The following is a 13,813-nucleotide window of genomic DNA, read 5'->3' on the forward strand; positions in this document are numbered from 1 at the left end:
CCATGCCCAGCCTATTTCTCACATTTCTAAAAGCCGAGAAGTCCAAGATCAAGGCACCAACAGATTCAGTGTCTGATGAGGGCCTGGTTCATATACAGTGGCTATCCTCTCCCTGCGTCCTAACATGGAGGAAAGGCCAAGGGAGCTCTTGGGGGTCTCTTTTATAAGTTCACTAATCCCATTCATGAGAATTCCACCCTCGTGATCTAATCACCACCCCCCGCCCCAACCACACACACACACACAAAGGCCCTACCCCCAAATACCATCACCTTGTGGGTTAGCATTTCAACAAACACATTCTGTGGGGACATGATCAGTTTATAGCATGTGTTTACTGCTTTCATAGCCAAATGTTTAATAAGCCAGGAAAGAAGTCTACTTTCACCACAAGACCAACTTCTACCACAAGTGGTTTAAGTGCCAATTTTTTTTTGTAAAGTTTTAGGGCATAACATGGTAAATTTGGTTTTCTGTTAAATCCATCCAAGAGTCAGTAATACAGAATAAAGAGGGTTTTATCACAGAAGCTTTGAGAAGATGGAAACAGGATAGATCACAGTATGCCAAGAACAAATTCCCCAAGAGCAACAGAAGCACGTGTGCTCACCCTTGTCATGGGGATTCTGGGGAGGTACAGCCCTAGAATGTCTCCCCTGTAAGTGGACCAGCATGTACTTGGTCAATAAGAACCACACTTGGGGTTAAGTGGCTGATACAAATGAATGAAATTTCATGCCACCTATGGGTGCTACCGAGCACATCAGAACATCAGAGTTCTGTCCCCTAAACCCTTGTCTGGGAAGTATTTCTAGGCTGACAAGTCCACTGTGCCTATGGTTTCAGACCAGGGTTTCTGAAGCCTATAGCTGCAGACTGGCCACACTGCTCATGTAGTGTTCAAAAACACACTCAGTTTACAGACATGTCTACTGTAGGCTACAGCCAGCCCAGGACCCCTAATCAAACCCAGTGAAGGCCCTGCCACAAATCCATTATTGGAAAAACAAAATAAAACTCTCCACATTGTAAAGGAATGCTATAAAATCCTTCAAAGGCACTTGTTTCTTTTTAGAGACTAAAGAATAACTTTTTAGGCATGTTTGAGATGGTGCAGAAAGTGGAAAATAGCAAGGAGTAGGGGCACCTTTGGTTTCCCAGTGCCCACATTTCTTGGGCTTCCTAACCACCGTCTGTCAAGAGGGGTGTGACTCTGTCCCAGTTCTGGCCCCTCACCTCCCCTGTCACTCCCATAGGAGTCTGAAATACAGGCATGGCAGTTTATCATGTCTACTGTGTCGGTAAAATCTTTCAGAATCAGGGGTCTGGGAATAGCTGTGCCAGATGCCAAGAAGGAAGACCCAACTTCGCCCCAGGGAACTGTCTGGTTATGCAATGAAGAGAAGAGGCTCATAACAAGGGCTTGAATGAAAAACCAAACTGTCTGTGATGCAATGAAAAACCCTCAAGCTTAAAACACACACAAATATACATTAAGTTGGCCAATCCCCAAGTATGGTGCCTGATTGAGGCCTCAAACTTCTTCCAGTCAAGGCATGAGGGAGATGCGTCAAGCAAGCTCGCATTCACCAACATGTTTCAGGGAAACCATCCTACTTCCATCCTGGTAGGAGATCATGTTTCTTTCTTTTCTTTCTTTTTTTTTTTTTTTTTTTTTTTTGGTGGGACAGAGTCTCGCTCTGTCACCCAGGCTGGAGTGCAATGGCGTGATCTTGGCTCACTTCAACCTCCGCCTCCTGGGTTCAAGCAATTCTCCTCTCTCAGCCTCCCAAGCATCTGGGATTACAAGTGCATGCTGCCACGCCCGGCTAATTTTTGTATTTTTAGTAGAGACAAGGTTTCACCATGTTGGCCAGGCTCGTCTCAAACTCCTTACCTCAGGTGATCCACCTGCCTCGGCCTCCCAAAGTGCTAGGATTACAGGCTTGAGCTACTGCACCCGGCTGATCATGTTTCTTTCCTACAGATCTTGCTCTAAGAACTGAAATCAAAGACCACTTCCTTGAAAGGGCCAGCTGCTGTTCTGGGTCATAGAGAACCCACCTGAGCATATGTAGAGCACCTGTTCTGTTCACCATGATGCTGGCTCTACCACAATATGGGTACTCAACAAACAGGTTCACCATTGTCAAGTGCTGCTACCAACATTGGGTCTATCCAGAGATGAATCAGACAAGGCCCCTGCTCTTAAGCATTCACAGGCTTTCAGAACCAAAGAACCGTGCACGGGAATCACTGTGATATGAGAAAGGAGGGAACCAGCACCATAAGAAAGAAGCATGGGAAACTAAAGAGAGGTGATCAGAGGAGGCTTCCTGGAAGTGGGATTTGCAGAGCACTGAACTTCTAAGGCAGAGGCTGACAAACTATAGCCCATGTAAAGGTCAAATACAGCCCACCGCCTGTTTTTGTATGATCTGTAAAATAAGAATAAACTTTAAATATTTTAAGGGTTACCTTTTAAATGGTTATATAAGCACTTATATAATATCCTGGATTTTGGCTCTTAGCTACTAAAGCATAAAATATTTACAATCTGATCCTTTAAAGAAGTTTGCCAGCCCCTGTTCTAAGGCACACAAAAGACCCCAAGACGGTAAATTAAAGTCACAGCTAATGTTTGCTGAGAGCTTACTGTGTGCTGTGTGCTACACTGTGCAGACATTATTTAATCTTCACAATATGCCTATAAGGTTAATATTATTCCCACTTCACAGAGAAGGAAACTGAGTCATAGAGAAGTTAGTAACTTGTCCAGAGTCTGGCAGCCAGAAGTTAGTAACTTATCCAAAGTCTCAAGTGTTAGTCTGATCCCAAAGCTGTCCTCTCAATCACCAACTTTGATGCTTGTCCAATTCCCTATAGAGAGAACATGTGAGCAGAGGCTTAAAGCTTGGGACACATGTAAAAAACAAGCCCTCATCTGGCTGCAAACAAAGGGAAGCAGAGGCCAGAAAATGGGTAAAATTATAGTGGGAATTGCCAAGTAGAGAATAATCCTGCAATTAATGCATGGTAAATAACATGGCATAAGGTAATTTCATTGCAACAAAAGCTGTTTACAGTAGCAAAAAATTGGAAACAACATAAATGTCTATTATTAGGTGGTTATATTATGGAATGTCATGTAACCTTTGAAAAAACAAGGTCATGCTTTATCTTCATTGTATTGGTCAGCTACTGCTGTATAACAAGCAACCCCTAACTCTTAATGGCACACAATTCGCATTTACTTTCAGGTGTCTGTAGATTAGTTGAGCTCAGCTGGGTAGCTCTGGGTTGCTGGTTGGGCCCACATCTGTTCCACTTATTGCTCAGCCTCCTAGGACCAGTGGTCTAGGTATGCACACTCTTCTTGTGGAGATGCAAGAGGCCCAAGAGACAAATGGAAACAACCAAAGCTTGGGCTCAGAACTGACACATGATCCCTTCACCATCTATTGGCCTAAACGAGGCTCATGGACCAGCCCAAAGCCAAGGGACTTCCAGCTTTGGCAAAGGGAACTAAAGAGTTACACAGCAAAGGGTGTGGACATGAGAAGAGGTGAAGAATTAGAATGATGACTCAACCAACTTCTTAAACTATTACAAAACAACACCTAAAAGGTAGTTTGATACTTGCCACAGCTGACACTACTCCTTAATCACAGTGACAGCCATGTACATGTTCTCTTCCTCAAAAGCTAAAGTTCCATAAGGATGACTTCTACATCTGAGATGAGCCTTTTAACCCCATCCACTCTCATAACTCAATGTAGTTAACATCGCCTGTACTGCCCCCCGCCTTGCAAATGAAGTGGCTGACATCTGCTCTGCCTGCCACCTTGAACATAATGTAGTTGTCACGTACACCAGCCCAACATTCTGCCACGCTGCCTTCAAAGCCCCCCAGTGCAACCTGAGTAGATCCTGACAGGAGGATGGACTCAGGGTTTGAGAATGCCCGGTTCTGCATTTGAGGCCACACCTTGCTTGTTCAGGTGCCTGACTCTAGGCCTGCGTTCCTAACGGCCACGCCACCCTGCCACATGTGCCCTGCCTCCATGGCCACCATCTGTCGGTTGTCAGGATCTCCTCAGCTGCTTTTCCCCTCCAAGGTTATCCTCGACCCCCTTTTTTTCTCTCTTTTTTTTTTTTTTTTTTTTTTTTTTTTAGTAAAAGAAGTTTCACAGGCTAAAATCACGTATAGGGCATTCAATGAACCAGAGCCGTGATGGCTGCCTATGAGACCAGTGATCCCAACCTAATAGCTTTGAAGCCAAAGCCATGGGAGCAATCCTGGGTGGGCCAGTAGGGAGGGGTGTACCCATGGCAGAAAAGGAGGCAAATTCAGACGTGTGTGTGTGTGTGTGTGTGTGTGTGTGTGTGTGTGTGTAATTGAGTCTTCAAAAATCTTTCCGAAAATGGTCTCCTCAAAAGTTTAAGAACTTCCAATTCTGATAATAAAGAACTAAGATAATTCAAACCAACCCTTCTGCTGAAGCTACTCAAAAAAATCTGGGCAAAATATGTTTAAAAGCACTTAAAAATTAACAAGGCAGTGAAGAAATACGTTTATTTCTTCACAAGGCAGTGAAGAAGTACCAGGATCCAATCTGATGGCAGTAAGACCCAGGGAGGCAAGACCAACTCTCAAGGCCACGTCAGCCCTGTGGCATTTGTAATCCTGAAGAAACAGCTGGTGTTTTATCAGCCTGCTTGGGCACAAAATGCCAATGTCCAAGGTCCATTCAAGGTGAGGAGTCCTATTACCCCCCATCTAGAGACGACCCCAAAGCACCACACTGTCAGGGTCAAGCAGCAGAAACACAGCCACAGTGTGCACTGTGCAGAATGCGCTCTCCCGGTCCAATGAGTCCTCTCAATGGGCAATGGGTGGAGTGCACGCCTGCCCACTTTAAGAAGGAATATACTTTACATTTGGTAAGTGACCACAGAAGGTCACTGTTGTTGACATCTGTTTTCACTTGAGGATGCACTATTAGTCATCTCTATGATTTCTTTGATGGCGAGTTCTTGGTTAGAAACACTGCCCCAAATCATTACATTGTGCTTAAGGAAGCAGCACTTCCACCTGTGACAATCAACTCTGGAACACTGTTTATGGACTCACATGGCAGCTAAAGTCCTGCCTCTGTAAATGCAAAGTTGTGAAATGCATCATTTATTTTAAGCTAACCAAAAAGTCTAGAATCAGAAAATCTTGGGTTCAAATCCCTGTTTTACCACGTAGAAGCTGCATAACCCTTGGTAAACTATGCACATTCCCATGTCTCATTTTCCTCATCTGTAAAGTATGGATAATAATGATAATAATAATACCCATAGTCAGGGGGGCACTAGGGGATGCCAAATACTCAGCCAAGTGCCTGGCTACTACATAAGTGCTTAATAAATGGCTGTTATTACTAATACTAATTTTAGCAGAAATGTGATCCTGGTTACCACAGTTTAGATAATAATGATACAATAATAATAATGGTAGTAGTTAATAGTAATAGCTGTAGCTCATGGGCCAGAGATTGTTCATGAGTCTCAAAATAATACCTTTGAACATTCCAAGGTGAGTAATTAAAGGTGCACTATGTTCATGACTGTGAGATGCCGGCCTAGCACTGCATATTTTGCAAGTAGATTTGATCTCTGACCCCAGAGGCTCCTGGGTCAGGTTGGGAGATAAGAAATGCACACTGAAGGCCATGGGCAGCTAAGAGGTCCCACAAGAGAGGAAATGATGTTGTCTTTGAGGAGAGAGAGGTGGGGAAAGCAACCAAGAGCTCCAGGAAATTCAAAACTGACTGCAGTTGAATCAGAAAATCTGGCTGTGAGTAGTGAGGCAGTGCACAAGTGTGAGTGTGGTGCAGAAGCTGCCGTGAATGTTCTCGCCCCCGCACCATGGATCGGAATAGACAGCAGGCCCCAGGCAGCCCCACACTCGGGAATCTGTAGTCAGGCTGCTGCACCAGGGGCCTGTACCCACCCACCCTCCCTGAACAGGGCCTAGGACTGGTGTAGGGGCTCTCCGAGAGCCTCACTTACTCTCTCTGACATCTTCACGGGCCACACGGACACTGTGATCATCGTTGGCAGCCTTCTCAGAGCTCTTGGTTCTCATAACTTTTTTGTTGCTGTGTTTACCTAAAGGGGGAGAGAGAGATGCCTTTACTTTCACATACATCAGAGCTGGTTCAAGATGCTAAGAGTTCAACTGTCCTCTCCTGCACAGCAGCCATCTCCCCTTCTGCTCCCCTGTCCCTAAAGATGGGGTCTTGGACTTTAAGGAGTCTCTAGTTAAAGGAAAGGAAATGTGTTATTAGCAACACCCAGGAGAAGAAACACTCCTAATAAAAACAATGTACACCTGCACGTTGTTACTATTATAAGACTGAAGATCACACCTGTAATCCCAGCACTTTGGGAGGCTAAGGCGGGTGGATCACAAGGTCAGGAGATCAAGACCATCCTGGCTAACACGGTGAAACCCTGTCTCTACTAAAAATACAAAAAATTAGCCAGGCATGGTGGCGGGCACCTGTAGTCCCAGCTACTTGGGAGGCTGAGGCAGAAGAATGGCGTGAACCTGGGAGGCAGAGCTTGCAGTGAGACGAGATTGCGCCACTGCACTCCAGCCTGGGTGACAGAGCGAGATTCCGTCTCAAAAAAAAAAAAAAAAAAAAAAGACTGAAGAATACCTTTGGGTAGTACATTTGACCCTCACTGAGGCCCAGAGACATCATTTGTAGTTTCTGGAACTGGAAGTGGAGCCTCAGACTTGTGACCCCAGAGCTAGCATTTTCCACCCTGCTGGGCTTCTCCAACCTAACTCTCTCCCAGGCCCTGGCTTGGTACCTGTGGGTAAGGATGCTGCCCCCATTTGGGGAGCCTCCTTGCCATAGCCTGAGACACCTGCCTGCCATGCTCCTGCTGGCCCCTTGGCTCCTTTTCACACTGCACTCCCTCTCCCTGCTCCAGCAACACTGGCCTCCGTTTAGCCTTCAGTTCATGCTTCTTCCTCACCAGAACTGTGTACTATGTTGTTCCTTCTCCTGGAGCACCCTTCTCTTCCCTTCCCTTCCCTTCCCTTCCCTTCCCTTTACGCTCAAGCTAATTAGCTCCTACTGATCCTGAACATCTCAGCTCTGGCATCGCCTCCTTAAACTTTCCCGACCTCCCCACCAAATCAAATCCACTTTGATGGAAGTTGATAGCACCTGTTTTGGGTCAGGTTGCCTCTAGGTAGAGCCTGATGCAGGGCTTTGGATGCACAAGGTGTATTGAGGGAGAGGGGAAGGAAGGGAAGCAGGATGGGGTGAGGAAAGGAGCTAAGCAAGGCTGTGGTCTCAGCCAGAGTCAGGCTCAGCCCATCCCACAGGAGCTCTGGAGCAGCAACTGCACACAGGGTTGTCCTGACTTGGGACAAGGAGCTGTCATTTCTACTGCAGTTGGCTTCTGGCTACAGCCTGAGAGTGGGAGATGTAGCCTTCCAAGGGTTCTTCTGCAGAGGTGGAAGCAGGTGTGAGCTGCCTGAAGAGGAGACTCCTGGTATCTGGGGGCTGGGTGTCCCTGTGGGGAAAGAAGACCTGGGTGGGGCACTGGCAGCCACACCGCAGGTCTGCACCCATCTTGGGTGGCAGCATCCCAGTGGCAATGGGACATGTCTGTTGATGAGACAGGGATGATGTCTGGCTTTGCTCACTGCTCTGTCTCCAGAGTCTGGGACTTAGGAGGCTGTGATGAATGAATGAATGCACGAATGAACAAATGAACCAGTCGGTGAGTGACAAACAGAAAGAAGAGGCAGGGCAGGTCTGTGGAGAAAGAAACTTAGCTTGAACTTTAAAAGCCAGTTGAAATACCAAAATTAGCTGGTGGATTCTGCCAATAATGAAATCATTTCCGACTATGTTACAGTCACATGCTAAAAGGACACTTATTAAGAAAACCTTAAATCTTCAAGAAATTCAAGGGGCACATTGGGCCAAGCCAAAGGAAACCCCCCTTTTTGTTATATTCTTGGGTGGTACCTGCTGGAAGTATCTTTCATTTCCATGTAAGCTGAAAAGAAAATAAAAAAATTAAGTGCCCCCTTTAGTGTCTAGAAGCCAATTAACTGAAACTTCTGTAAAGGCCAGAGGAGGAAGGCAAGTCAGAGACCTGAACCCACATCTCTGCCCGACACTGCTTTGGCCTGTGTCCTGCTTCTGTGGGCGGGAACATCCCGGCTGGTGGGAAAACCGTGGAAGAAGGCCACCTCCCTAAGAGCCTGACCAGGGCTCTGTAAAGGCCTTAGTGGCTCCACAAAATCAGGAGCATAACTTTTGATAAGGCTGAGTTGGATTTTTCAGAAACATAAGATGTTTTAAGAAAAGGAAAGAAAAAAATTTCACAAAATATGTGAGAAAAAAAGCCAAAGTTCTGGAAAATAATGCCCCATTCCAGCCTTCCCCAGAAAATGGTGTTCACGACAACCTTCCTTCAGCCAGGGCCGCCTCCCTGGGGCCTCCATGGAACAGGCAGTGAGAGAGGGAGCCAGGCGGTCCCCCAGCACTATGGCCTGGGCAGCTCCCAATACTATGGCCTGGACAGCTTCCAATGACATGGCCTAGGCAACCCCCCCCCACCATAACACCATGGCCTGAAAAACCCCCAACTCCACAGCCTGGGCAGCCCCCACACCATAGCCCAGCCAGGCCCCACACTACAACACCATGGCCCGGGCACCTCCCAACACCATGGCCTGCGCAGCTTCTAATACCATGGTTTAGGCACCCCCCACCAACCCCGCAACCATAATACCATGGCCTGGGCAGCCCCCACACGACAGCCTGGACTGCCCGCAATACCATGGCTTGGGCAGACTCCACACCACGGCCCTGCCAGCCCCCACATCACAACACCATGGCCCGGGCACCCCCAGGCCCAGGCAGATTTAGGCCTGTGAGGAAACTCTGGGACTCAGCTCTGGGACTCCAGTGAAAGTCTGGATGTCAGGCGAAGGTCCTACTACACTGACAGTGTGACTCCCCTGGCAGGGGGATGGAGGGTAGGATCAACATGTGGGGAACAGACTCCCCAAAGGGAGTGGCAGATGGGGCTGAGACAGCAGGCAGGGGCCCAGCACCTTCGCTGGGGAGGAGGCAGCTGGTGGTTGGAAGTGCAGGCCTAAGGGCCTGGTTCCAGTCTGGGGTGCTGCCATGTCTGCCCCTGTACCCTCAGGTATGTCCTGGGATGACCTCATCACCTCTCTACACTTCAGTTCCCTCATCAGTGAAAGGAGAAGGCAACAATACCTGCCACGGTGGAAGTTACCAGCAGGAAACAAAAATGCTGCCTGATGGGCTTAGGGTGGCCCTGGCCTGCAGCCTCACTGAGCAAGACCTCTATCTTCTCACCCATCACAAAAAGCTATTCCAGTTGCTGGAGGAATAACAGCTAATGTGCATAGCATGGTTCAAAATTGACACGGCATTTTCACATAGATTCTAACAGGGTCTCTGCACACCATTTTATAGATGGGGACACAGATGCTCAGAGGGGAGAAGAGAGCTGCCCAAGGTCACGGACAGAGCAAGGAGGGGACAGAGCTGGAGAATGATTCCAAATCCGAGCCCTTCATGGACAGCACACAGGCCCCCCCTTCATAGCCCCTTCCTCTCTCCTAACAAGAAAGGCAGCATATGGTCCATGCAGATGAAAGAAGAAAGCAAAATGGAAACAGTGTGCAGAGAAGGGGCCAGGATCAAGCCAGCATCTCCATCTGGGCCGCGTGACAAAACCGAATCCCTTAAAAGTAGCAAACTGAATTGCCAATGTGGGCCACATGTTCTATTCTGGTCTACAGTGATAAATATAATTCTTGGTTAATAGAGAACTATTTTTCTCCTCACTATACAAAGGGCTTACAGTAGCAACCCCCAGAAGCCAGAAAAAAAAAATGCTTTGCTGCAATTTTGCATCTTCCCCAGGAAATTCCAGTCCAACAGGCTCTGCATTCCTGTAGTAAAGGACCCAGCCCAGGGCTCTGAGGTCCTTGTCTGCTTCTGCTTAAGGAACCCACATTAGGAGAAAAAAATGACCAAAGAGGTTCTCTGGGGCTCCCCAGAATTGCAGCATTAAGGCTAAATCACCACAAACACACCAGATCTGCTGGGAGGATCTGCTGGGAACCCTCACACAGGGAGAGCCGGGAGAACTTCACAGGTGAACATGAAAATCTAAACAAAAGCAGTGAGAAACGCCTGCTCTGTGCGATGTTGGCAGGGAAAGGGCCATGACACAGGGAGGAATCACCTGCACCCTTATCCAATTCTGAGGACTGGAAGCTCCCAGAGGAAATAAGAATCCAGGGATTCAGTGGGTCCTGAAGGGCGAGTTGAGCAGTGGACTGATGCGCTGGCTTCTATCCATCTCAATGACCTTGACGGGAGCCCGGGGGGAGGCTGTGGGCTGGACATGGAGGTACTCATGAAATTGTCTAAGAACTTCTTACCAAAACTAGACCAAAATCAATCAATCAAACAATCCATCAAAATCCCATGGCCCATCTCTCTCTCTCTCTTTCTCTCTCTGTCTCTCTTTCTCTCTCTCTCCATTGTGTCTTCTCTGGGATACCTGCCTGGTCAGTCCCACCCTCCTCTGGGCCAGCCTTTCATGCAGAAGACCTGGCCTCAGATCTGGGCATAAGGAAGAGTGGGCATGGCTGGGGCAGCAGTGCCCTGTGGCCCCCACTCTTGCCCTCTGTGCAGCCAGCAGCCACCTTTCTGACTTGCAACCAAATAGAGTCCTTTGCCTTTAAAGAGACACCCTGGTAACAGCAGCAGGTGGGTGTGTGCAGACACTGTGCAGGGAGCTGTTGGTACCTGCCAGTCTCATCTTAGATTCCACCTGGAAACAGCCTGAGACAAGAAGGCTTTGGGCACAGTGCTGTATGTGGGAGGAGATTTCAAGTAGCACAGGTGAAAAGTTGAAGGGGAAACACCAATAACTCAGGCTGTGTTGTCTGGCAGGACTCAACGGGGACTCAACCTGGCTGGGGACTCAGGGTGGGGTTGGGAGGGGAGATGCCTCTGAGCTGCCCCACTCCGGAGGCTGGGAGGCTAGAAGGCTGGGAGGCTGGGAGGCTGGAAGGCTGGGCATTGACCCCTCCAATCGTACACCTCCTCCAAAAGCTCGGGTTATTAATTGTTCCCATGCCATCGTGAGGAACTGATGCTTGGAGAAGTCACAAATGCCCATGAGTGGCAGAACCAGACTTTGACCTCAGCTCTCTCTTCATCCTGGAAAAACTCACCATGGAGCACCTACCTGTGCCTAGCATGAACCAGGCATTCCATACAAATCTGTGACATCAGGGGCTTAAATTAACATGTGAAGCTGTTTTGTGCCATGCTAACCATCCTATGATGCCCAACGAGTAGCCAGCTGGCTGCCAGCCAGATGTGGATGCCAGCCCTTCCAGTGGCCATCCAAAGAAACCCTAATTTCCTGGGTTTTGTGACCCCAGAGTGGTAGCTGCAGTGGCTGGGGCCTGAGAGGGCCACAGAGGGCAGAGCCATTGCTGGAGATGCCAAGCCTGAATGCTCAGGCTCCCTGGACCCTCAGGGACATCCAGAGAAAACCTCCACCTCAAAAGTCAAGGCTCCAGGGCCAGGCTGCCATTGTCCCCACACTAAAGGTGCCATGAGCTCTAGCAGCCATGGACACTTGAGGCATACAGAAAACACAGTGGCTATTTTTAAGAACCACAGCATGCAGTCCAGCTTTCGCAAACGTGGGTGTGTCCTCCTTTATTATCCATGCGCGAGCCCTGGTTTCTGGAACCTTGGGCACAGGCAAGAGGAAATTTGCCAGCATTAATAGTTGACTTTGGAAAGCATTTTGGAAATGGAGGTGGTGTCTTAGAAAGCTGCTTGCTAATGTACAGGAAATGACGTCCTCTCCCTTGGAATTCTATAGGGAGTTTACCTGGACAAAACACTTTGGATTTAACTCTTAAAGTAAGCATATAATTTGACATGAAGGATTGCTTGTTAATTGTTTAGGTATGCTAATAGCATTGTGATTGCTTTTTAAAGTACTTATTGAAATATTTACAAACACAGCTTCCTAATCCTTACACACTCCCATTTTGCCCAGGAGAAGACATTTCCATCCAAAAGCCAAATGCAGCAAAACACACTGAAAAGAGAAGGAAAGCTTAAATGTGAAGCCCTTTTCACCAACTGGCTTACGGCACACACAACAGAAAAGGCTTTGTTTACAACCAAATATGCTCAAAGAACAACTCTTTGGTTATTTCCCCCTGCAACTGGGGCCCAGCACAGTACAAAATGCAAACTCAATGATTCTGAGCACAGACACACAAACAAACGTGGCTCGCTGCCCCCTCTGCAAATTCCACGGGCTCAAGACTATGGCGATGATGTGGGTTTGTCCACATTCAAACAGCGGTGCATTCTCACCAGCACAGGAAGAAAGTTATGAACAAAGGACCAAGCAGAAACTCAAATTTAAAGACTACATATCCAAGCCTACTTCTAACCCAATGTGCAATGAAGAGAGAAATAAATAAAATCTTCAAATCCCTCATTCAAATCAATAGTTCAGCTTATTATTTGATTTGATTGTTACTGCCAAGTGGGAGGAAAAGGATAAGTTCTATAACTATGGTTTATTTTTCTGTTCTATTTTATTCTTCAAAAGGAATATGGCTGCAAACCAGGGTCATCAATTTGAAGATGGCATGGAAAGTAAGACACCCCCAAATCCACTTGCACGTGCAAAATGTGGCCCCTTACCTTATTCATAACCCTGGGAGAATGAAAACTGAGGACCTGAGATTCACTCCCGTGGCCTTAAATCATTCCAACTGCAGGGATCTAGAAACTGTCAAATTCAATTCGAAACAGCTAAATAAATGGAATTAGAGAGCAGAACGTTGTCAAGTTCATATGAGGAAGAACATTCTAGCAATAAGTACTCTTCATCCACTGAATGGTGAGAGTCCATCCATGGAAGCCTGTGAGCAGAGGCCGGGCAGCTCACTGTTAGAATCTCGCAATAAGCAAGAATCTGTGCTCAGTGTCCACTTAGGTCCTTAGAGTTCTAAAATTCTCGGATGGATGAGTGTTCACAATGAGGACCTCAGAAACTGTACAGTACCAAAATCCTACTGCAACCTAAGAAAAAGATTCTACGGTTCCATATCCTGACAGTGGTGGTGGTTCCATGAACCTGTACATGTGATAAAAACTACAGAGAACATGCCTACAAATGCATGTAAGAACTGGTCAAATCTGAGTAAGGCATGTAATCTAGTTAACAGTATCACTGTCAACCTCCTCATTTTGATACTGTATACAACAGTGACTCCCATCCCCCTGGGGATATTTGGCAATGTCTGGAGACATTTTTGGTTGTGACAACAGGGGGGAGGGTGCTACTGGCATCCAATTTGGAGTCCAGGGACACTGCTAAACATCCTGCAATACACAGGAAGGCAACCCCCTTCCTCCTCTGTTGGCACGTACACACAACACACACACACACATACACAAACAAACACACAATTGGCCCAAAACATCAATCCTGCCAAGATTGAAGTATCTTGTACTAGAATCATCTAAGAGGTTATCACTGGGGGGAGCTGACAAAGCGTACATGGGGCCTCAGTGTACTATTTTTGCAATTTCCTGTGAGTTTATAATTATTTCAAAATAAAAGCTTAAATAAATGTTTTTAAAGATTCCATTCTGTTTAATATATTGGGGCTCTACTTCTCTGGAAACCTGTT

The 13,813-nt window shown here is 47.2% G+C and overlaps 1 protein-coding gene across 5 annotated transcripts in view, besides 1 other annotated feature; it reads right to left on the reverse strand.

Moving 5' to 3' along the window:
- The window catches only part of CPXM2 (carboxypeptidase X, M14 family member 2), a 198,466-nt gene that overhangs the window by 128,512 nt on the left and 56,141 nt on the right, over window positions 1–13,813 (reverse strand). For 4 of the 5 annotated variants that reach the window (XM_017015673.2, NM_198148.3, XM_011539283.3 and 1 more), the window contains one exon: window positions 6,061–6,159. In XM_017015673.2, the coding sequence (XP_016871162.1) occupies window positions 6,061–6,136 (76 nt within the window). In that variant the 5' untranslated portion in view covers window positions 6,137–6,159. Of the gene's footprint in view, window positions 1–6,060; window positions 6,160–12,818; window positions 13,083–13,813 lie in introns of those variants that run through there. The other variant, XM_011539285.3, reaches the window with a different exon arrangement.
- Window positions 10,043–10,337: a silencer, noted in NCBI's record as "tiled region #15643; K562 Repressive non-DNase unmatched - State 24:Quies". NCBI's record gives its function as "represses a minimal TATA promoter and a strong SV40 promoter by Sharpr-MPRA in K562 cells {active_cell/tissue: K562}" and the evidence as "EXISTENCE:reporter gene assay evidence [ECO:0000049][PMID:27701403]".

This window comes from Homo sapiens, chromosome 10 (genome assembly GCF_000001405.40).
Source record: "Homo sapiens chromosome 10, GRCh38.p14 Primary Assembly".
Classification (NCBI taxonomy): Eukaryota; Metazoa; Chordata; class Mammalia; order Primates; family Hominidae; genus Homo; species Homo sapiens.